General features: G+C 34.8%; 2 long non-coding RNA genes across 2 annotated transcripts in view; both read right to left on the bottom strand.

The window, feature by feature from the left end:
• The window catches only part of LINC01090 (long intergenic non-protein coding RNA 1090), a 252,096-nt gene that overhangs the window by 149,839 nt on the left and 79,808 nt on the right, over nt 1-22,449 (bottom strand). The window lies entirely within an intron of this gene.
• Nucleotides 1,468-3,694, bottom strand: LOC124907927 (uncharacterized). The gene is made up of 2 exons (XR_007087580.1): nt 3,636-3,694; nt 1,468-1,619 (listed from the first exon to the last, which is right to left on the bottom strand). It is a non-coding gene; the product is annotated as an uncharacterized LOC124907927 (long non-coding RNA).

Consider the following 22,449-nt stretch of genomic DNA (forward strand, 5'->3'; position numbering starts at 1 on the left):
AGATGGGGTGCTATCTCTCTTAATGTTTATATTTTAAAGACATGGCAAACAGATCCTTCAGAAATTCGTGAGTTGTAAAACTGATGAGAGGCTTTTAAAAGGATTTACTTCTCAAAAGGGTGGAGAAATAATTTACAATTACAGATTTTCTAAATAAAATGCTCTAAGGAAAGGGAGGTAGGACCTAGAGTCAGAAGGAAGGCTGCCTAAAGTTTAGTCAGGCAGAGGGAAACTACAAGGTTACCTGTAAATTAACCACCCTGGAAACCATAAACTTATTCCAATCATCTGCAATATCTTATTCTCAGCCCAAAGGTATTGAGAATTCTTTTTTGGATGAGGACAAAACTGTGTTTTGAATAATTGATCCATTTTTTGTTCTTAATCTTGTATTTATTAAAATTTAGAAAAAATAAAATAAAATAAAACTTAGAAGGTAAGACAAAGAGTTTCCTATATAAGTTTTGTCGACTGTGAAGAAAATACAATGACTAATGAAAATGCACGCATGGATAAGTTTGGATATGTCTGTTAAAAATTGTTATTGTACTATATGTATATGTTAACATACAAGATAAATGTCACATTTTATTGATATGTAAGTATTGTCCTAAATGCTAAAATTTTATAATAATTTGCCATTATCATAAACAATATAAATAATCATTTAAATGACTGAGCAATAAAATTAATTTTCCATTATAAAATTTATATTCAACAGGCAGCATGAACATTTTATATACTCCCTTGAGCTAATATATTTCTGCTAGGCTTTCATTTAAAGTAGATTTTCATTTATACAATACTCTATTGCTAAAGCACTGAGGGCTTACTTCAGAAATATGCATTTCGTTTTTTAAGTACATAAAAGTATATTAAAAAGCTCCCATTATTATCTCTACTTGAGAATATCTGTTTATACAAGACTTGAAGTTGAACAAAATGATTTTTTATGAAACCATTAAGCAAAGATTCATTTATCCCTAAGGATAGAAATAATTGTATCTGTGTAGATCTGGCTTTATAATAGATTTAATATTTCTAAATTTGCAAATAAGTTCTATTAGAGTTTTCCCCAAGCATGTCGCCAGACACTAATAATAAATATTTGAAAAAGATACTGCTATTTTTTTCTCTGTGTCTTTCTTATTACTTATGTGCATCATCTACCCTTCATATTTTCCCATAAGTGATTGGTTTAAACACCATTCTTATACTATAGCATTTGTGACACAGAGTGCATTTTATGAATAAAGGAACAAAAATGTGTGTTTTCCCTTTCAAATTTTTTTGCTAATCTTTCTTATTTAGTCTTTTGAGTCAACATCATTCTATAGGTTGCAATAATCTTTAACGAATCACAATGTATAAATTTAAAAATTGTAATGCATATAAATAAGTTGATATTATTTATGTCATATAAGAATCTGTTAAGTTATGAAAAGCAAGATCACCTTGTGCATTTGATCATTCTTAAAAATTCAATTTATTCATTCTGAAACTTTCAGAAATAATAAAACAAAAAAAATTGTTTGAAGTGAAGCAAATCACCTGTTCTTGAAGTGGAGGTCTGAGCAAACATGAGAGAATAAGAGTGACCTCAGCAACTCTGAGGCAACCTGTGGAGTGGCAAAAGCAATAGATTTAGAGGCAGGAAGACATGGATAGAAATTTCAGCTATATCATTTTTTGGCACATATTGGAAACAAAGAATAACCTATTCTCTTTCTTGCCTATATTAAAATATCTAAATATGATTATTAAATTGCTCTTTGTATTTCTCTTAGTATTAATTATATCAGAAATTTTCATTGTGTAACCTTATTTATTCTTTTGCAGTCATTTTATTATGTACATCTGTCAAATTTTCATTTCTTAATGTTCCCTTTCAACTTTGTAGTTCACATCAGAAAGAGAGCAATGTGCAAAAAACTTTTAAATCAGAAATGAATGATCTCACAGATCACCTTTAAAAATATGGTATAGTAGCAACTACATGGTTCTGATGTTTCCCTAGATCCAAATCTATTTTCTCCATTAAATGTCCAAAGATTCTAACTATGTAATAGCAGACAGCTTTTTGTGGCTTTACTTCTATTTCTTTTTATTTTCCAAATTTTCTATATGTAATTATATCAAGTCAGTAGCTTCACTGTGTTTAATCAGATGACACCAACCTGGGCATAATAATAGAATCATGATAACATTTTTAAACAAACAAAGATGATTTCTCTTGCTTTGATTCTCTCATTTCTGCAGGAATGCCAGCTCCCCCAAATTCCACCCTCATAGTATTTTTTTTTTAATCTTTAGGACAGTGTCTCCTACCTACTCACCAAGTATTTATCAGAGTTATCACCTTCTGTGTCTGTGGTTTTTCACATTCCTGCTCTATTTCTATGTGGTACCTACTGCCAAATCATCAAGACCTGCACCAAAGGCAGCACCACTCATGCTAAAAGTGCCAAGATCCAGTGCCTGTTTTCTATTCTAAAAGTAAACTGGTCTGAATAGACACTATGTGCTGCACCTGTACTACAAAAATTGCTCTCATTTATAAAAGCCACAAGTAGTGCTTTCATTGTTTCATGTAAAATTTAAAGTAACTGCCACTGAAGCTTTTCTTTTGCTTTCATTGCAGCTTTCTCTTTCTGGAGTTTAAACATAAGTTCAGAGATGTGGGGCACAGGATAATCTAATGAGAGCCAACAGCTTTACAGAAGAAGCAATATGTCTTTTTCCAATACAGATGCCGTGTTTTTAAATCAATTGTACTTCTTTACTCTTTTATTTTAGGTTACTTTTCCCCCAAGGAATGTATTTATCCTTGAGTATACAGATATCCAAGGAGATTAATTTTTCCTATGTGACTTCGCCTCTCACAGCCCCTTCCATAAGAGGTTAGACAAAGAGACAGGTCCAAGTTCTATTCGGAGCTGCTTTAGGACATGTAAAGCACCCTTCAATAAAAGGACAAAGTAAACCCCATATAGCAGTTTATTGTCGGTTGGTTGGTTTTGTTTTTCCCCCAGGTAGATATAGCAGCAGTCAGCAGGGAAAGAAAATTATATCTACTTTTTGATTCCTAGGGATTCTCCATCTGTGATGGACTAGAGGCAAGATCAGATCACCTCTGGTGCACTACAAATAGAAAGGATTAAAGAGCTCCACTCTCAAGGAAGTAAGGGACATCTCTCCTGAGGTGATAGTAAATTAAACCTAGTAAATTAAACAAATTAACATCAAAATTGCAAAGACAAACTGAGTTTATACCGGTGTATTTTATTTCATATTCTAATTATTACTGTAGCTATGATAAATTCTATACTTATGTAATTACCATTTTCATGATTTTCATATTTAAAGATATGAACATGAAGTCTAAAATTACCCCAAAATAATGAAAAATCAATTGGATTAGTGGGTTACTAAAGTTATTTTAATAATATGCAAAAACCTTTGCTTCATGGGTAAAGACACCGTGGATCCAATCAAACTACTTATCTAGAATTAATATGTAACTTTATTGTCTAGTAGATGAGGGCTATAATGTGGCCATACATTATCAAAACTACCCTACCAATGCTAAAGGAATAAATTAACCTAATGGATGATTTTGTGGAAGGATGACTTACTTTGGGGTGAGTATATTCTACTTTCGCTCTCTCATTTCACCTTTTTAAAGCAATTATTCCTGAAAGGAAATAAAATATAACTTTTAATTTGTATACATACTTACATATACCTAAAATATCCCACTAGAAACCATCTCTGATGGTTTTACCTTTCCTGTCTTTGATCAATATCCTGGAGAGAACCTACAGCAGCTATCTAGTCACCTGTGGGTATTGCAACTGTAGTTTGTCAGGTATTAAAAACTCTAGTCCAGTTTACTATTAGTTAACATCATATCTGGCTTTTTCTCTTGCAGTACACTTTCTTAGGATCTTTGAAGCATCTCCTTGTGTCAATTAGTTATTGTTGTATTATAGGACAGCCTAAAACTCGATTGTTTAAAACAACAACCAATTATGATCTCTTAGAAGTCTGTGGTTTGACTGGTATAGTTGACTAATCTAGATTGTTTTACCTAGGAGTGGCTCAGCTCCACCTCTCTTTCATCCTCATCCTGTCTCTGGGATGAGTGGGCTTTCTGAGTCACATTCTTCTCTTGATAACGGCAAAGGCATAAGGGAGGACGGGTTAAAGTGAGTGTACAAGCATATTTAAAATCTATGTTGTAGCACATCTACTGTCATTTCAAAGGTCAAAGCAAATCACAAGGGTAAGCTCAACATCAATGGAGAACATATGCCTTCCTTGAACTTGAGGACAAGAGAGAGTGAATATTTCTGGATAATAATTTAATCTACCACACTCTCTTTAATGCCTATATCCTGTCCTAACACCCCCAACCACCACCCCTCCATAACTCTATTCCCTGAATTAGTGATGAAAACTCTGGATCGTACTACTTTTTCCTCCGTTTTTTTGTGAAGAAGTGTCATGCTCTCAAGGCAGTCCTTTCAGAATGATTCAAACCTGTTACCTTCTATAGGGTCCTCATGACCCACAGGGAAACTCAGCATCTTTGGGCCACCAAATTTTAAGGGTCGTGGTCATTTCTACAATAACCCTGTTTCTTTGCCTCACGCTAAAAGGCACTTCTAGGGAGTATTGTGTCATTAGGATTTCCAGGTAACATGTGGTCATCAATTTCTGTGTCTTTTCCAAACCCCAGGGCACATGGATCAAGATTCATTAACATAGTGTCACCATGTTGGCAGCAGGGAACCCCGGGCTCTTTTATGTAGCTTGATCACTGAGGTAGAGAATAAAAAGCCCAAGTATCACAACTTATCCTAAAGGTTTAAATATCCTTAGTTTCTACTGTCCCGATGGTCACCAAGCAGCAACGTACCCTCTTCAGAGCTCCATTGCCCTTATGTGCTGTATTGTGAGTTTTCAATTTAGGGTCTCGAGCTGTGGTTGAATAAATAAAAATGGGAAAGTTTCCATGTTCATGATTATGCTAGTATTTTCTCCTTTGACCCATCATCCAGTACTGGTTATATAGGTAGAAGCCTACTTGTTATAACTTAAACAGTTCATAGAATACCTCAGTGCCTAAGCATATTTTTCCTATCTGGATGCCATAATAAATAAAACTACACTATTAAACAGGATTTCTTCAGGTCAGCATCTCATCTGTAGGAAGCCCACACTTTGGACTTTCATACTTTTGGAAGACTACTGGACATTGGTTAGGAGTATAGATAAAGTAGGAGTAGATATGTTGTGAAAGGAAATCAGGGATCAGAAAAAGACTTCCCTTTTTTATTTAAAGCTACTCCCAATTAATAGAATTGTTCATATTGTCAGTACTGCTATATTGGTGCATAGAGATTCTTAAAATTAGACACTTTTAAACATGAACATATTTGCAAAAAACGAGATGAAAATCCTTTGTGTTTAGCCTTTCCCCTAAGAAACTATGATACTCGGAGCAAAGTTTAGTACCCTCATTGTTTTATTTATGCTTGTTTTACATCTATAGGGTATTATAAGCCAGAAATTACAGAGGGCATGCAAAATCACTTTTAAACTACAAAGTACTATGTGATGAATGGATTATATCACTGTAATTATTTCTGATGTATATATTTAATCAAAATGTATATTTCTAACTTCAAAGGTTAAAGAATTATAAGGCATTTCAGAATGTAGTATTTTGAACTTATTACTAATGAAGTACTATTAAATGGATAATATATTGTAACTTCCATTATTTTATACCTATTTTGAACATTAATTTCATATAAGGAAACTTTTAGTACATGCTTTAGGTGTTATGAGAATAATGTAATAATTTCCAAATCACTCTGAGAATCTTGGAAACATGATGACAAAATTATTCTATTTTTTATTGAAAAATATTATACTTGGAGGTTTTGGGGGTATAATTCCTTGTTAAAGATCCCCAAACATTACATATAAAATCTCCAAACATTACATATTTATAATATCCAAAGTATTATTACATATATTTTAGTCAATATATTTACAGTTAACCCTTTTATGAGGATCACATGTTAAAAGAATAATTATAATGCTGAGTTTGACAAGAAGAGTAAGTTTCTTTTTACTTCCTTCAGTAACAGCTCAGAGAATATCAGAACAAAACTGTTGGCCTTTACGTTTATTTCAAATTATTCTGATATCATTTTAAAGATAATATGTACATGTATTGAAGACCTAAATATAGTATATTTATAAATTTGTAGTATATGCATTAATATAATAAATTTTATAATGTACTATTTTAGTTTCATAGGGCTGACAAAGTCTCATACATTGGGTGGTTTAAAACAATAGAACTTCATTATCTCACAGTCCTGGAGACTAAAAGTCAAAAATCAAGGGGTAGACAAAGCCATTCCCACTCTGAAACCTGTAGAGAATCTTTCCTTGCCTCCTTGTTGCTGCTGGGGGTTTGCTGGTAATTTTTTGTGCTTCTTGGCTTGTAGATGCATTCCCTCAATCTTATCGTCACATCATGTTCTTCCTGCCTTCAAAGAGTCTTCCCTGTGTGTATCTGTCTCTGTATCCAGATTTCTCCTTTCTATAAAGACATTAGTCATATTGAATTAGGGCTTATTCTAATGACTTCATTTTAACTTGATTAGCTCTGCAGAGTCTTTGTAAAGACTCTGCTTCCAAATATTATGAACTACTTGGGATAGGACTTCATTATATATATATATTTTTTTTTGCAGGGAGAGCATAATTCAACGAATAACATGCACATTAGTCTTCTTAAAATTATACATGACAAAAAATGGTAACAAAGGGGTAAATCTGTCTCTAGATTTGCAATACAAAATTAAATGCTAATTGATATGATTTGGCTGGGTCCCCACCCAAATCTCATCTTAAATTGTAGCTCCCATAATTCCCATGTGTCATGGAATTGACCCGGTAGTAGATAATTGAATCACAGGAGTGGGTCTTTCTTGTGCTGTTCTAATGATAGTGAATAAGTCTCATGAGATCTGATGATTTTATAAAGGGGAGTTCCCCTGCACAAGCTCTCTCTTACCTGCCATGATGTAAGACATGGCTTTGCTCCTTCTTTGCCTTCTGCCATGATTGTGAGGCCTCCCCAGCCACGTGAAACTGTGAGTCCATTAAACCTCCTTTTCTTTATAAATTACCCAGTCTCTGGTATGTCTTTTTCACAGAGTGAGAACAGACTAATACACTAATGATAATTCATGATTTCTCATAAGGAATTTGTTATATTAACACAGTCATGATTTATTTGAAAACTATGACTCGTCTTGAAGAAAATAACCACAGATGTACAAGACAATTCATACAATGAGTAAATTTGAATTGGTAGATAATATACAAAGCTTACACACCAAAGTAAAAATGATAGTCTTGCACATTTACCTTTCATATATAGTTATTCATTTGGAATTTTCTAGGACTTAGTTTCAATTTCTCATTTCTTTATATACCAAAGTGGTTTCCCCAACACCATCTATAAATAATCCATCTTTCTACTGCTTGTTTGTGATGTCATGTATATCATACACCAAGTTCCTAAATATGCATGCTTCTGTTCTGAGTTCTTTATTATATTCCATCATGATATATTGTTATATTATAGTCTCAGGACTATTGTTAATGTTACATGACTTTTATTGGTGGTATTATTATTATGGTTTGGTAGACTGTTTTAACATCTTCCCACTCTATTCCCCTTTCTCTTATTTTTAAAAGGTGTCTTTGGTGGTTATATCATGTTTCAACTTGGTTAGGCTGAACTGTTTCCCAAAATTTGCTTCCCTGTATTTTTCCACTAAGGTTGGGCCACAAGAGAAATTCTTGTTTAAGATTTGGTGGGTGGAACTGAAAGGGCTTCCACTGTACAGTTTATGCTTAATATAGCTTACCTGCTGACTCACCTCATTGTTGTGGGGCAGCCGTGCAACTGATTCACCTTCCCCTCTATCCTCCTGCTTCTGCATGTATTAGGAATGATGTGTGTTTTTAGCTCCATGACAAAAGGCATGACCTTCCCCTGCAGATTATCCATACAACCCAAGTCAAGGGCAAGAAGAGCTGACACAGGCTTCAGACCATCTTCATGGATCCAGCTTATGTTGTGGGTTGCAGTTTATCCTTGCTCTCCCTTACTTTATTCATCGTCCCATCCTGACAGCATATCTTGTGGAATTCAAGACCTACCACTTAGAAAAGCTACCTAAATAGGGCCTACAGTTGCTTAAGGTCAGCTCACTCTAACAAATATATTCACCCTAGGCCCTGGCAGCAATCTAAGTCCTGTCTCTATGAATTTGCCTATTCTATATATTTCATGTAGATGGAGTCATATAATATGTGGCATTTTGTTATTGATTCTTTGACTCTATATTTTGTTTTCAAGGTTCATTCATGCTATATATTGGTACTTCATTCTTTTTTATTGCTGAATAGCATTCCATTGTATGGCTATGATACATATTGCTCAGCCATCCATTCATCAATTTATTGATTTCCAACACCATTTACTGAAAAGGCTATTTTCTCTCATTGAATGAAAATGAAATAATCACAAATGTGAGGGTTGCTTTCTTGATTTAAAATTTTATTGCACTGATCTATATGCTTATTTTTATGCCATTACTACATTGTCTTAATTACTGTCACTTTGTAGGAAGATTTGAAATTAGGTGTGGGAATCCTCTAATTTTGTTCTCCTTTCTCAAAGTTGCTTTGTCTATTAAGAGTTTCTTGCAGCCGGATACTGTGGGTCACTCCTGAAATCCCAGCACTTTAGGAGGCCGAGGCAAGCAGATCACCTGAGGTCAGGAGTTCAAGTCCAGCCTGGCCAACATGGTGATACCCTGTCTCTACTAAAAAATGCAAAAATTAGCTAGATGTGGTGGTGGGTGCCTGTAATCCCAGCTGCTCGGGAGGCTGAGGCAGGAGAATTGCCTGAACCTAGGAGACGGAGGTTGCAGTGAGCTGAGATTGCACCACTGCACTCCAGCCTGGGTGATAGAGTGAGACTCCAACTCAAAAAAAAAAGAAAAGAGTCTCTTGCATATTTTTATTTGAATTTTAAGGTCAGTTTGTCAATATCTGGAAAAAAACAGCTTGGATATAGATACAGATTAAATATGGATAGCACTGAACTATATATCAGTTTAGAGAGTATTGATGTCTTAAACAATATTGTCTTCCATTCATTTATTTGTTTTTAATTTTTAAGTTATATTTTATAGTTTTCAGTATAAAAGTCTTGTACTTCTTATTTATTTATTTATTTATTTATTTATTTATTTATTTATTTATTTATTGGGACAGGATCTCACCCTTTCACCCAGGCTGGAGTGCAGTGGCATGATCATGGCTCACTATGGTCTCCATTTCCTGGGCTCAACTAATTCTTCTGTCTTAGCTTCTCAAGTTGCTGGGACTACAGGTGCTCTCCATAATGCTGGGCTAATTTAAAAAAATTTTTTTTATAGAGACGGGGTCTCATCATGCTACCCAGGCTGGTCTCAAATTCCTGGGCTCAAGTGATCCTTCCATGTTGGACTCCCAAAGTGCTGGGATTACCTGCATGAGCCACTGTGCCTGGTCTATTGAACTTTTTTTAAAAAGATATATTCATAAATATTTTATTTCTTGATGATGCTATAAATGGAATTATTTATGTAAGTTTTTTTTAGATTGTTCATTGCTAGTGTATAGAAATACAATTGATTTCTGTGTATGGATCTTGTATCCTACAATGTTCTTAAACTTCTACAATTCTTGAGTTTAGTAATTTGAGTTTTTTGTTTGTTTCTTGGTATCTAGATAAAGGTCTGTCAATTGTGTTATATTTTCAAATAACCAACTTTTGATTTTATTTCCTTTTATTGTTTTTCTATACTCTATGTCATTTATTTCTGCTCTAATCTTTATTATTTTCTTCTGCTTCCTTTAGGTTTAATTTGCTCCTTTTCTCGGTGTTTTAAAGTGGAAGTTTGAGTTACTGATTTGAGTTTTTTCTTCTTTTTAAATATAGATGTTTACAGCTATAAGTTTTCTTCTAAGCACTGCTTTAGTTAAATCTTATAAATTTTGATTTTTTTTTTTTTGAGACAGAATCTCACTCTGTTGCAGGCTGGAGTGCAGTGGCACAATCTAACCTCACTGCAACCTCCACCTCCTGGGTTCAAGCAATTCTCCTGCCTCAGCCTCCTGAGTAGCTGGGATTACAGGTGCACACCACCACGCCTGGCTTATTTTTTTTGTGTGTGTATTTTTAGTAGAGACGGGGTCTCACCATGTTGACCAGGCTGGTCTCAATCTCCTGACCTTGTGATCCACCCGCCTCGGCCTCCCAAAGTGCTGGGATTACAGGCGTGAGCTACCGCCCCCAACCTTGGATCACATTGTTAAAAAATAAGCCACCTGATCCAAAACTTACATATATATAAAGTATATAAGATATATATCTTTCTCTTTCTCTCTTTCCACATATGCACATGCACACATACATGCATACATGTATTTTTAAGACATTACAGAGGTATTATGGTTAGGCTTGGAATTAGAGAGGGAATAAGAATTAAAAAACATAATAAAATAAAATAAAATAATGGCTTTTCATGATCTTTTATGTTAGCATGTCAGAAAGTGAAAAATGTGATTAATTGAAACTTATGCACTAACATCAAATAATTTAGTTGCTAGATCTTTTTTTTTATGATTTTGACAACTTTTAGATGCTAATGCATTTTCGTTATAACCAATCTGGTAACAAATACAGAGAAAGAATTAGTTTCCTCTGACTAATTTGACATGTTAACCCCTTTAAAGGATCAAATGATACAAACAATAGCAGCTTTAAAACTAAAAAGAAAATATTGCTTATTGAAGGAGCAGTAGGAGAAGCATAGAAAAAATATATTTTCCTACTTTGGTTCTGCAATGCTCAGTAGCAAGATTTCTTAGTTTTAACTGACATTCAGACACTTATGTTACACTTTCATAGCAGTCTAGTAAGAAGAGTTTAGGTCAGGAACCACGCTTCCAGAAAGAAAGCACATCCATTCCCATGGGAGTTTTTTTCACAACAGTCTCTGCAGCAATTCATTCATAAGCTATTTCTTTTTCTTTCGAGGTGATATAGTTCAGGTAAAAAGGAATGAGATTCACATAAAGTAGGTGTGGGAGTTGTTCTGGCTTCAACACCTCAGGAGAACATACCTTTTGTAATATCTTCCATTGCATAGCTTCCAGATTCTTTACAAATGATATATCCACTTCCAGAAATCACTGTTACTGGAGCAATGTCAAATGACACAATCCCTTAGATTACCAAGGGAACAAAGACAGAATAAATTTGGTAACTGTTCAACAGGCAGAACAGAGTACAAAATAAGCAACAAATGATGCAATGTTGCATTCAAACTGAAGACAATATTTTTTATTCCCTGTGTTCTGCTTCTTGCCTTCTTATTAGCTTTTTTCTTACCAAGGCTTCACCTTTTGTTCCTAGGCTATAGTTACCCAAATCAGACCAAAGTGCTCATGCATGCTTCACCCAGTTTAGAAGCAATTACATTTATGCTAACTATGAAAACTGATACAGCTAAGTCTCACTACAAAAAAAAAATCAAATAATTCATTAAAGACATAAAAAGATTGACCACTAAACATTTATTTGAATAACTCTTAATTCTTAAAAAAAATTATTTTAAGTTTAACTTAGCATTGCTTTGTTCTTCCTTGAATTAGAGCATTGCTGTAATATTCTCTTATTCCCTAAGTAGCTTTTTCCTCAATTTTCAATTTATTGTCACCTACACCTTCTAAGCCACTTATATCTGGCATCATTGCTAATTTCCCTCTTCCCTGGATCTTTCATTTTTAATCAATCAACAAATATTGCCAATTTGTATCTCATATTTTCATCCACTATATTAGTTTGTTTTCACACTGCTATGAAGAACTGCCCAAGACTGGGTAATTTATAAAGGAAATAGGTTTAACTGACTCATAGTTCAGCATGGCTGGGGAGACCTCAGGAAACTTAAAATCATTTTGGAAGGTGAAGAGGAAACAAGGCACCTTCTTCACAAGGCGGCAAGAAGGAGAAGAGCTGAGCAAAGGGGGAAGAGCCCCTTATAAAACCATCACATCTCATGAGAACTCATTCACTATCAGGAGAACAGCATGGGGGAAACCACCCCCATGATTCAATTACTCCTACCTGGTCTCTCCCTTGACACGTGGGGATTATGGGGATTACAATTCAAGATGAAATTTGAGTAGGGACACAAAGGCTAATCATATCATCCACATATTCTCTTTATTTTCCATTCACTTATTTCTTATTAGCAAAAGCTAATGTATATATTAATTTTTTAGTTTCAAGAAGCTGTATTATGTAAAGAAGGGTTTCTAGATAGTGATGTGAACCCAGAAAATCTGAGACAGGTCTCAGTTAATTTAGAAAGTTTATTTTGTCGAGGTTGAGGACTTGCCTGTGACACAGCCTTAGGAAGTCCTAACAAAATTTGCCCGAGGTGGTTGGGGTACAGATTGGTTTTATGCATTTTAGGAAGACATGAGACATCAATCAATATATGTAAGCAGTACATTGGTTTGGTCCGGAAAGGCAGGACAACTTGAAGCAAAGGCAGGAAGACTTGAAGATTCCAAGGAGGGAGCTTCTAGGTCACTTAGATAGGTGAGATATAATGATTGCATTCTTTTGAGTTTCTGATTAGCCTTTCCAATGGAGGCAATCAAATATGATCTGTCTCAGTGAGCAGAGGGATAACTTTGAATAGAATGGGAAGCAGGTTTGCCCTAAGCAGTTTCCAGCTTGAGTCTTCCTTAGTGATTTTTGGGGGCCCAAGATATTTTCCTTTCACAGTGGTATAGAAATTTTTAAAGGGGAAGGAAAGAATAACTCTAGTATGATCTGGTGGAAAAACCAACCTACCAACACTGACTCTTCAATGAGGTGTTGAAGTGATAGTCAGTATGTTCACTCTTCACCCTTCTAGATGCTTCCTCAATGCTGTCCTTCACCCTCAGGGTCAGCAAGAGGTATGCTCTGGGATTCTTTTGCTATCAAGATGGTGAGTTTCAATAAGTAATTGATATTGTATTTTCTGCCTTACATTGTGGCCCCTTTAAAAGGATGTCATTGTAGCTTAGGTATTTAACTCATTGGTTGAATCTCAGGCACTGGAACCTATGACCACAATGGCATCAATAAGGCCTTGAGAATAATCCAGTTTTCATAGGTCAAAAAGGATAACTAAGTAAAATTAGAGCAGTATCTTCTATCTTATGAGTCATCTACATAATATAATATTTTTACTTCAGGACTTAGATTATTCAGTGATAAATTATGCATAAAATTGTAGTTGAAAATAAGAAAGAAAAAAGTCCTTCTTGAACTTAACATTGAAAACCCAGACCAAGCTATACATTAACTCATATGTGAACATGGTTTCTAAATTTCTGAAATGTAGTCAAGAGTGGCAACACACTCCTGTAGGCCAGCTACTTGGGAGGCAGAGGTGGGAGGATCACTTGAGCACAGGAGTTCAGGCTGCAGTGAGCTATGATTGTGCCTATGAAGAGCCACTGCACTCAAGCCTGGGCAACATAGCAAGATCCTATCTAAAAAAATAAAATATTCTGAAATGTAGATCATAAACTATATTAATATGTTAAAATGGAGAAATTAAGTAACTATTTATTTGTTTTCTATTTAAAAAGTTAAGCTTTTGCCCGCAGAAATTATGTGCATATGCCCTTTACAGAGGATGATGAACCGTTGTGTGCAAAGATCTCAGAGAATGCCTCCAGATTCACTGTTCTGTCTTCTACCTTGTTGAGCTCAGAAGTCAAGCTGGAAAACTAGCCAGAGGAATAGGCCTTCTCTCAGAAACAAAGAAATGAACAGAAAAAACTGTTATTTTATAGGATTCCCCAAAAGTTTAAAAAATAAGAATAAACCTGGCTTTCTGGGCCCTCTAAAAATAGTAAGTATTTGTAGCACTAGGTTGGACTCACCACTTAGCCTTGAATTGAATATTTAAAGCTTACATAACATATAGAAAACATCTCTTCATTTCAAAGGAGAAACAAAAAGGAAACCCAGAGATTTAAAATTTATTAGCCCTAGATAGCTAGTTAGGGGCAGAGCAGAAACAAGAAACAAACTTCTCGACTCCAAATTCAAGTCCTTTCTGCCCATTTTACTTTCTAAAAATAGGAAAATCAGATTAAACATTCCCTAGACTGAATTCCTGTCCTTGGAAAGGGTGAATTCCTGGTCTGCTACCTAAACTTGCATGTGGATCTTCGGTATGTTGACCACGAGTTAATGACTCATTCCCTATTAACCATAGTTATTCTCTCTCCCTACTCTTTGAACAGCCCACAGTCATTTCTGTTATTACAAGATTTGACTCTCTGCTCTCTCTGTAAATCTCATTTTTAAAATTCTCTTTTCCTTGATCACTGTACCCTGGAATACCTCCTTGTTGTCTCTTGTACCTCAGGGGCATTGTACTTCTCAGTTGTGATGTTCTTCCTCCAGATACTCTCACAGCTCACTCCCTTGCCATGGTCAAGTTTCTGTGCAAACGTCACCCTGTAAGTGAGGACTTTCTTAACTATTCTATGTAAAGTAGGTCTACTCTAAAAATCCCCCTCTCTTTTCTGTGAGATATAAAAATATTTTTAAAATCTTTTATATATTTGTATAGCCCTCATCATTTGGCATACTATGCTTTTTGCATATTTATTTATTTCTTAAGTATCCTATTCACTAGGAATACAACTTCCATTAGGGTAGATTTTGGTTTGCTTCGTGTACTGCTGCATGTGCAAAACCTACAACAGTGCTTGGCATAGTTTGTGTTCAATACATTTGTTGGACTAAATTAATCAACACTTAATGCTTCTTCCCCAGGTGCCCATTTCTCCAACTTCCTTCACTCCTCAACATATATCACCACTGTCTTTCATCTAGGACTGCTAGGCCTTCCAACTATAAAGAAATATAAAAAATGAAAACTTTAGTTAAATTTCTCAGGGGAAATTACACCAGTAAAACGACAACAAGGCAATGGGTCTCTTTTGGATGTGCACACATTGAGGAAATGAACCATTTATGTCAAATGTAGTAATAAGCCTTCCTCTTTCTCTACCTTGTTCTCAATGGTATAAAATCAGATCTTTTCTCAAAACTCCCATAACAAGTTAAAAAAACATTTATCTCAACATTTAATACACTTTCCTATGTTTGTAAATATTGCTCTCTCTAATCTGATTATGAATTTCTTAAGATCGGAGACAGTTCTCCATCTTTCTTTTCCTCAGGATGATTAAAACATAGGAAATGCTAGTAAATTTTTACTTAATTGACTTGAATTAAATATTACAGTGAAATTAAGACAAGAAGATCTCCATGAAGCCAGTGACTGCCTTGTATCTCTAGAATTCCAATGCTTGGAGCAAAGCTAACAGATAGCAGGAAGTCTGTAAAGGTGAAATTAATGAATAAAATAATGAGGCAGAGTTGGAAAAAAGCAAAAGTTCAGAGTAACAGGAAGACTGATTAAGCGATTCATGCCAAAAAGCAAAGTAAAAGTATTTTTAAGTCTGAGACAAAGAGACAGAAAGAGACTACCTGAAAGTCATCCAGAAGGAGACTACTTCACCAAAAAAAGGTGTGACTCACTATATTACTCTATTTGCTTTATTGTGATACTTTCGAACCAAACTCACAATATCTCTGAGATATGTCTCTACTTACATATCTATGATAAAGTTTAATTCATAAGTTAGGCACGGTAAGAGATTAAAACAATCACTAACAATAAAATAGAACAATTATAATAATATACGGTAATAAAAGTTGTATAAATATGATGTCTCAAATTACTGTAATATTTTTGGACTGTGGAAAGATAAACCATGGATAAGGGGAGACTACTGTATTCCAAATCTTATTTCACTTATTTTATTTTCCTAAACACTCTCACTGAAACTTTACTTCACAAATAGATTCAATGGGCCTAACTTCCCTACGTGATTATTAATATTTTAAGAACTCATATTTATATACTATTGCTTTAAATAATATTCACCTAAAGGAAGCTCTCCATAAGTTTTTAAACACTTATAATTTATTAAGCATGTTATACTAATGAATTACTATCAATTTACCTATATAACATTTTTTTTTTGTTAAGAAATCCAAATATTTTTATAGGGTGACCCCTGGAAATCTGTCATTCTATTAGGGGCCTGTTAACCACTGTGAAAGAAGATAAATGTGCATAGGCACTGAAATAGCTACTTATCCTGAGAAGCCAAATCCCATTAACCCAGCTAAATTGACTCTACTCACACTGATTTGATCAGAGAATCACTTAGCAGAAATCAGAGGCATTTGCCACTGTGGGCGAAAATAGTATCCTAAACTGCTTTCAAGTTTGAATCAAGGACAGCAATATGATATAAACGAAAGTATCAACAATGAATAATTCTGGGTCATTCCTACCCACTGCTTCTGAAGAAATGTAGGCTGACTTTATTTGAGCTATTGTATGTATAATTGTTAAATAGCATTGCTCAGTAAAAAATCAATGGCAAACCCCAAATAATTTAATGAGTGCACATGCAATTTGAGTGTTACCAATTTTTAGAGTTGCATTATTATATGCATATATATCATAAAAATTACATATTAACAATTCCCCAAAGTTTAGATGATTATTATATAATTTTAAAAGTTTAAGTTTGTTTCATTATATTGTTTTCATTATCACTAGTAACATTTGTTAGTCTTTCTTGGTGAGAGTCACTATGGTAAATGCTTTACACAGATCATCACATTCAATCCTTATAAGAATCTTTAGAGGCAAATTTCCAAATTATCATTATTTCCCTATAAAATTAAATAAAGAAGCACAACATGACTAAGGAAAGGTTTCTGTCCACAACACATTTACAGTTTTAAAAAATGTTAATAGGTTGGTAGGTTTAAGTTATACAAATATTAAGCAGGTGCTGGGCACAGTGGCTCATGCCTATACTCCCAACACTTTGGGAGGCCAGAGCAGCCAGATTGCCTGAGCCCAGGACATTGAGACCAGCCTGGGCAACATGGCGAAGCTGCGTCTCTACAAAAATACAAAAAATTAGCCAGGCATGGTGGCATGCTCCTTTAGTCCCAGCTACTCAGGAGGCTGAGGTGGGAGGATCGCTTGAACCAGGGAGGTTGAGGCTGCAATAGGCCATGATTTTGCCACTGCACTCAGCCTAGCAACAGAGAGAGACCCTGTCTAAAAATAAATAATAAAAATATTAAGCAAAGCAAGGCGTAATTTAGTACAACTTGATTGATGCAGAACCTCTAGGAGATGTGAAGCCACTAAGAACAGAAATGATTTCAGATAATCCCATAGAGAAAATAAAATTAAGCTGTGAGAAATTGGTATATATTTCATAGATTCACAGGGAAAGGCAAGATATTTGAGCCAATGATAACAACATAATTATAATTAAAAACAGAAGCTGGAATATAATGAAATAAAAGCTTTCCAGAAATACCTTTATTATAGAAAGTTTTTTCTTTATTCTGTCACTTATCTGGTTTATTTAGAAAATAATTCTGTAAAATGTAGGTGAAGTATTTAGTATCCCCAAGTCTTGTATCATTATCCAAAATATTTGTTTATGTAATTCCCTTTATAAAATGTGCTTCTTTGGATTGTAGCAGTTTGTATTCTTCCTTAGTTGTATTAATGAAATGCATTCTTTTCACTCAATAAGCTAATTTTGAATCATGACTTTTTTTATATGACCTTGTAGTTTCATAATCTTTGTAAAGAAAAACAAGCAAGTTTTTAAAGCAGTTTTAAAGTGCACATTTTTTAACAGAGAAAAAGAATATTTATTTACAATGTCTACTCTTAGTTCATACACTAAGAGCCTCTGTCTACTGAACAAATAGGTAACATAACCAAGAAAGGAAAACAAGTTTTGTCTAAGGATTGCTAATTATTTGAAAAGCTTATTTTCCTTCTTTGGTTATCTTACCTGTCTTAAAAGAACATAGTCTGCCCATAAAAACAATATTGTATGCTCCGTTTAGAGAACAAAGCCACAAATCTTTCTGTGTGGCTGAAGACTCTCTCTGGGATCTATAACAATAAGTTATTTTTTTGGAGCATAACCATTTTGAGTTCACTCAACTATGCTCCTACACTTTTTTTTTTCCACTAGGAGAGGATTCTAGAAACTAATCCCATCCACAGCACAGCTGACCAAGGATGAACAAGAATTTCTTCAGATTTTTCATAACAATCTCCTCATATATTTCTGTATAGAAGAAAAAAAACAAAACTGTTTGCTAATATCTTTATGCCCCTGAGCACAACAAAACCCTCAGCTTACACTGAAATGACAATGTTACGTAATATTCCAAAGTCAGCTATTCTCTTCATGCCTCATATCCCTTTAATGTCTGCTAGTGTTCCCCACTGACTATCTGTTCTTCATTAAATATATGGACATTTAGAATACATAGAGGAAGAGAGAGCGAGAGATTTGGATGGGGTTTTCCCCTCTTTTTCTCTTTTTCTTTGACTTATCTAAGCCCTATCTTTCCTGAAAACATTTTTCACTCTGCTCTCTGGAAATCAAATTTCATGTTTCCTAAGCTTCCCTATGAACTCAAACTTCTCACAAAAATTCTCTGTCTCCAATTTTTTTGTCTCAACTTAAATAAATCTTTAACAGGAATAATCATTTTACTTAAACTTTTTCCAAAACAAGTTATTTTTGTTTTGTGTCTCATAAGCCATTTGGCAATATCAATCACTCACTCCTTGCCCAGCTCTGCCAGTAACCTACATCCTTATCAGGCTCCCAAGGTCACTTGAAAATTTTCAACTAGGCAACAAAATTTCTCTATACCTAAAATGCCAGCATTGTCTTGACACGTTGACCACCTTAATTCCATTAAACTGGGCTTCCACCTCCTTAAGCCATTTATATTTGCAATCATAGCCTTTCTTTTTAGTGCCCAGAACCATTTAACTCCTGCTTTACTTTTTTACAACTCGATGGTAGCATCCTTGCTGTTCCCTAAATATGACAAGCTTATTCTCAACACTGTGCCTTTGTACAAACTCTCTTTTCTCTGGAATATATGTGTCAGTTAGGATGATTTTAGTTGCAAGTAATGGAAAAAATGCAAATTGTCTTAAACAATAGGACACATAATATAATGTAAATGAAATTTCAGGGAGATCAGGCTTTATGGTTTATTGACCCAGAGCTCAACAATGTAATAAAGTTCTTCAGTTCTTTCCATTGTTAGTTCAATCATCCTTTATGCTGGCTGCATTCTAAATTCAGTCTTCATTTTCTGAGAACGTCTGCCAGTTGGAATTATGATGAGATGCTTTCTTGTTGACATCTAGAGTTGGATTCTTTCACCCTCCAGAAGAGTGATTGACTTCCCTTCCAAGAAACCTTCATAAAGCTGCCTTTTTATCTTATTCTCCAAGTGGTGGCAGGGGGAGACATATCACCATCCCTAAATCAGTAACTGTGGAAAGGCAGAAGGGATTACTTTACTTAGTCAACAGTAATTAGAATCTAACTTTAAATCTAGGGAAGGGGGTTGGTAAGACATTTATGTGTATGGCTAAATGAGTGTTCCCTATTCATCTAACATGATACAGGGACTGAGTTCAAAGAATCTACAGAAAAGAATATTTCCTAAGATCCTTATAGCAGTGATTTGTAAACCTCATTTTTGTTTGAGAAACATGTTCTCCAAATAAATGCTATGCAGGAGAAAGTAGTCGAAAGATATTAAAACAGGGCTCTCTTTCTTGCAAAAGATAGGAGTTAGTGATGTTTCCACACCCACCTAGAAAGCTTCTAAATGTAAACTTGCATCTCTGGAGAAATCCTGGACTTCTCCAGGGGCATAATTTGAAAACTGCTATCTTAGATTGCTTCTTGAGTGATGCTCAATTATCTCAGCCAGGTTAGTAAATGTAGCTAATTGCTAATATGAAAATTATGGGCCAGATATGGTGGCTCATGCCTATAATCCCAGCACACTGGGAGGCTGAAGTAGAAGGATTGCTTGTGGCCAGGAGTTCAAGAACAGCCTGAACAACAAAGCAAGACATTGTCTCTACAGAAATTGTATTAAAAATCAGTCAGGCATGGTGGTGTGCACCTGTAGTCCTAGCTACTCTGGAGGCTAAGGAGGGAAGATCGCTTGAGCCCAAGAGTCCAAGGCTATAATGAGTTACTACTGCACCATTGCACTCCAGTCTGGGCGGCGAAGTGAGATTTTGTCTCTAAAAAAAAAAAAAAAAAAAAAAAAGAAAAGAAAATTATATCTAAAGTTCCTTGTTTCCTTGTTATTGACTGAATAAAATCTATTATTCTAAATATCAGGAATGCTTCATCATCGCTGATATTTAATTATGAAAATGAAGAAGCTAATTGTGATTCTACTTAACACAGCACTTTTTAACTCTACAAAAAGACCAATATCAGGACTGCATATAAAGTCCACATATTTTTCATGAAGATGTATTCATCTACATAAAAATCAAATCTAGAGTTCGTTTGCTTATGCTAGGAAATGGCTTAACACAAAAAAAGTCTTCATTAGACTATTTCATTTAGAACCATTTTCTAGACCTGTTGGAGTACGTTTATTACTACTAGAGTTTTTTTTTTTTTTTCCCATAACCAAATCCATTACTATATTGAGCCTGAAAGACTCATTTACATGTTGAGTTATTTACATTTTGGATTCTTGACATTTTGATTAAAAGTTTAAAGACCAAATCTGCGAGCACCTACATTTATCTGAACCATGCATTTCCACTGTTCCCTTATTGATTGAGTTATGGGAAAGAGGGATAATAAATGTCAGTATTTTTAGTAATCAGGTCATACTCCCTACAAGGACATTGCTTTTCTAGAAGAATAGTCAGAGATCAGCCACATGGAGGATTTCATAAAGTGCATTAAACTCAGATATCTGAATTGACTTTTTGTGAGCTAGCAAGTCTTGGTACTGCCTGCTAACCTTTTATCAGGGACAACCACTGTGATGTAAGAATAAAGTAAGCAGTAGAATTATTACACTTTTGAAAACAACTGGTTTCCATTTCTTGGACTTCAAAAGCTGTGCAGAACTTCTGCCCTACTCAAGTTACTGCAGAGTCCCTGGATAGAAGTAAAACCAGGATTATATTTCAGAGGACCAAACTCTCAATTTGGTTGTTAGTGGTGCACATTTTTATTGTTGTTTATCATAAACTAAGTCAATAAGAATTCTGGGCATGTGTGCCACATTTCTCATCTTTTTGTTCATAGCACCCATCATTAATCAGAGCTGGCCCCTTTTGTTGCATCTATTTTCCTGATTTAATACATTAAACATAAATTTAAAAGTGAGATGATTTTGAAAGATATAATGCATAAGACAGACAAAACAATAACTGTATAAACCAAATAGCATAAAAGAGGATGGATTGCCATTAAAATAAATGAGCATTTAAAAACTGAAGAAAGATACATAAGGAAAGCATGAGAGAACAAAAGTTCATAAGATTAAGATATTGCTTCCCTTAAGAAACTAAGGTTTAGTTTGGGTGTAACCGCTCATGCCTGTAATCCCTTCACTTTAGGAGGCTGAGGTGGGAGGATTGCTTGAGGCCAGGAGTTAGAGACCAGCCTAGGCATCATAGCTAAACTCCCATCTCTCCATAAAAAATGGAACTAAGGTTTAAATGAATGTATAATACAAAAATAAATAAAAGTGAAGAAAAATGGGAAAGAAACTTAAGACTGGCTAAGGAAAAAGTAGAATCTTCTTGAACAAGTTTATCAAATGACATAGAATAAGCAAAATAAACAGCTGAAAATAAATTAGATAACTGATGAAATGATAAAGTTTTAGAAGTCAAATGTGGTTCAGAGAGTGGAGAGTAGGAATGCAATTTAATTACTAATGAATGATAGACTAGCTGATATATCACAAATTCAGGCTGACAACTACAAATGGCCCTTAGGTTTCACAGTAACGTAAGTCTCTCTCTAGTCAGTTTTCCACTAGTACACTCTGCAAATGTCAATGCCTCCACTGAACCTTGTGATTATTTAGCCTAGAATGCTAGGGAGCACTGTTCTCATGAAAACTTGCTTGAATGGCAACCCCTAGAGGTCAGCGGGCACAGCCTGCTCATCTGTGCGTGGCTGCCCTGCCTTCCATGATGTTTTCAAATCCCCTCCGCTCTCCTCTGCAGTCTGAGCACTGGTGCCATCTCTTCAGTCATTTTCAGCAGCAGATAACTTTACCTT

This window comes from Homo sapiens, chromosome 2, assembly GCF_000001405.40.
Source record: "Homo sapiens chromosome 2, GRCh38.p14 Primary Assembly".
In the NCBI taxonomy this organism is placed as follows: domain Eukaryota; kingdom Metazoa; phylum Chordata; class Mammalia; order Primates; family Hominidae; genus Homo; species Homo sapiens.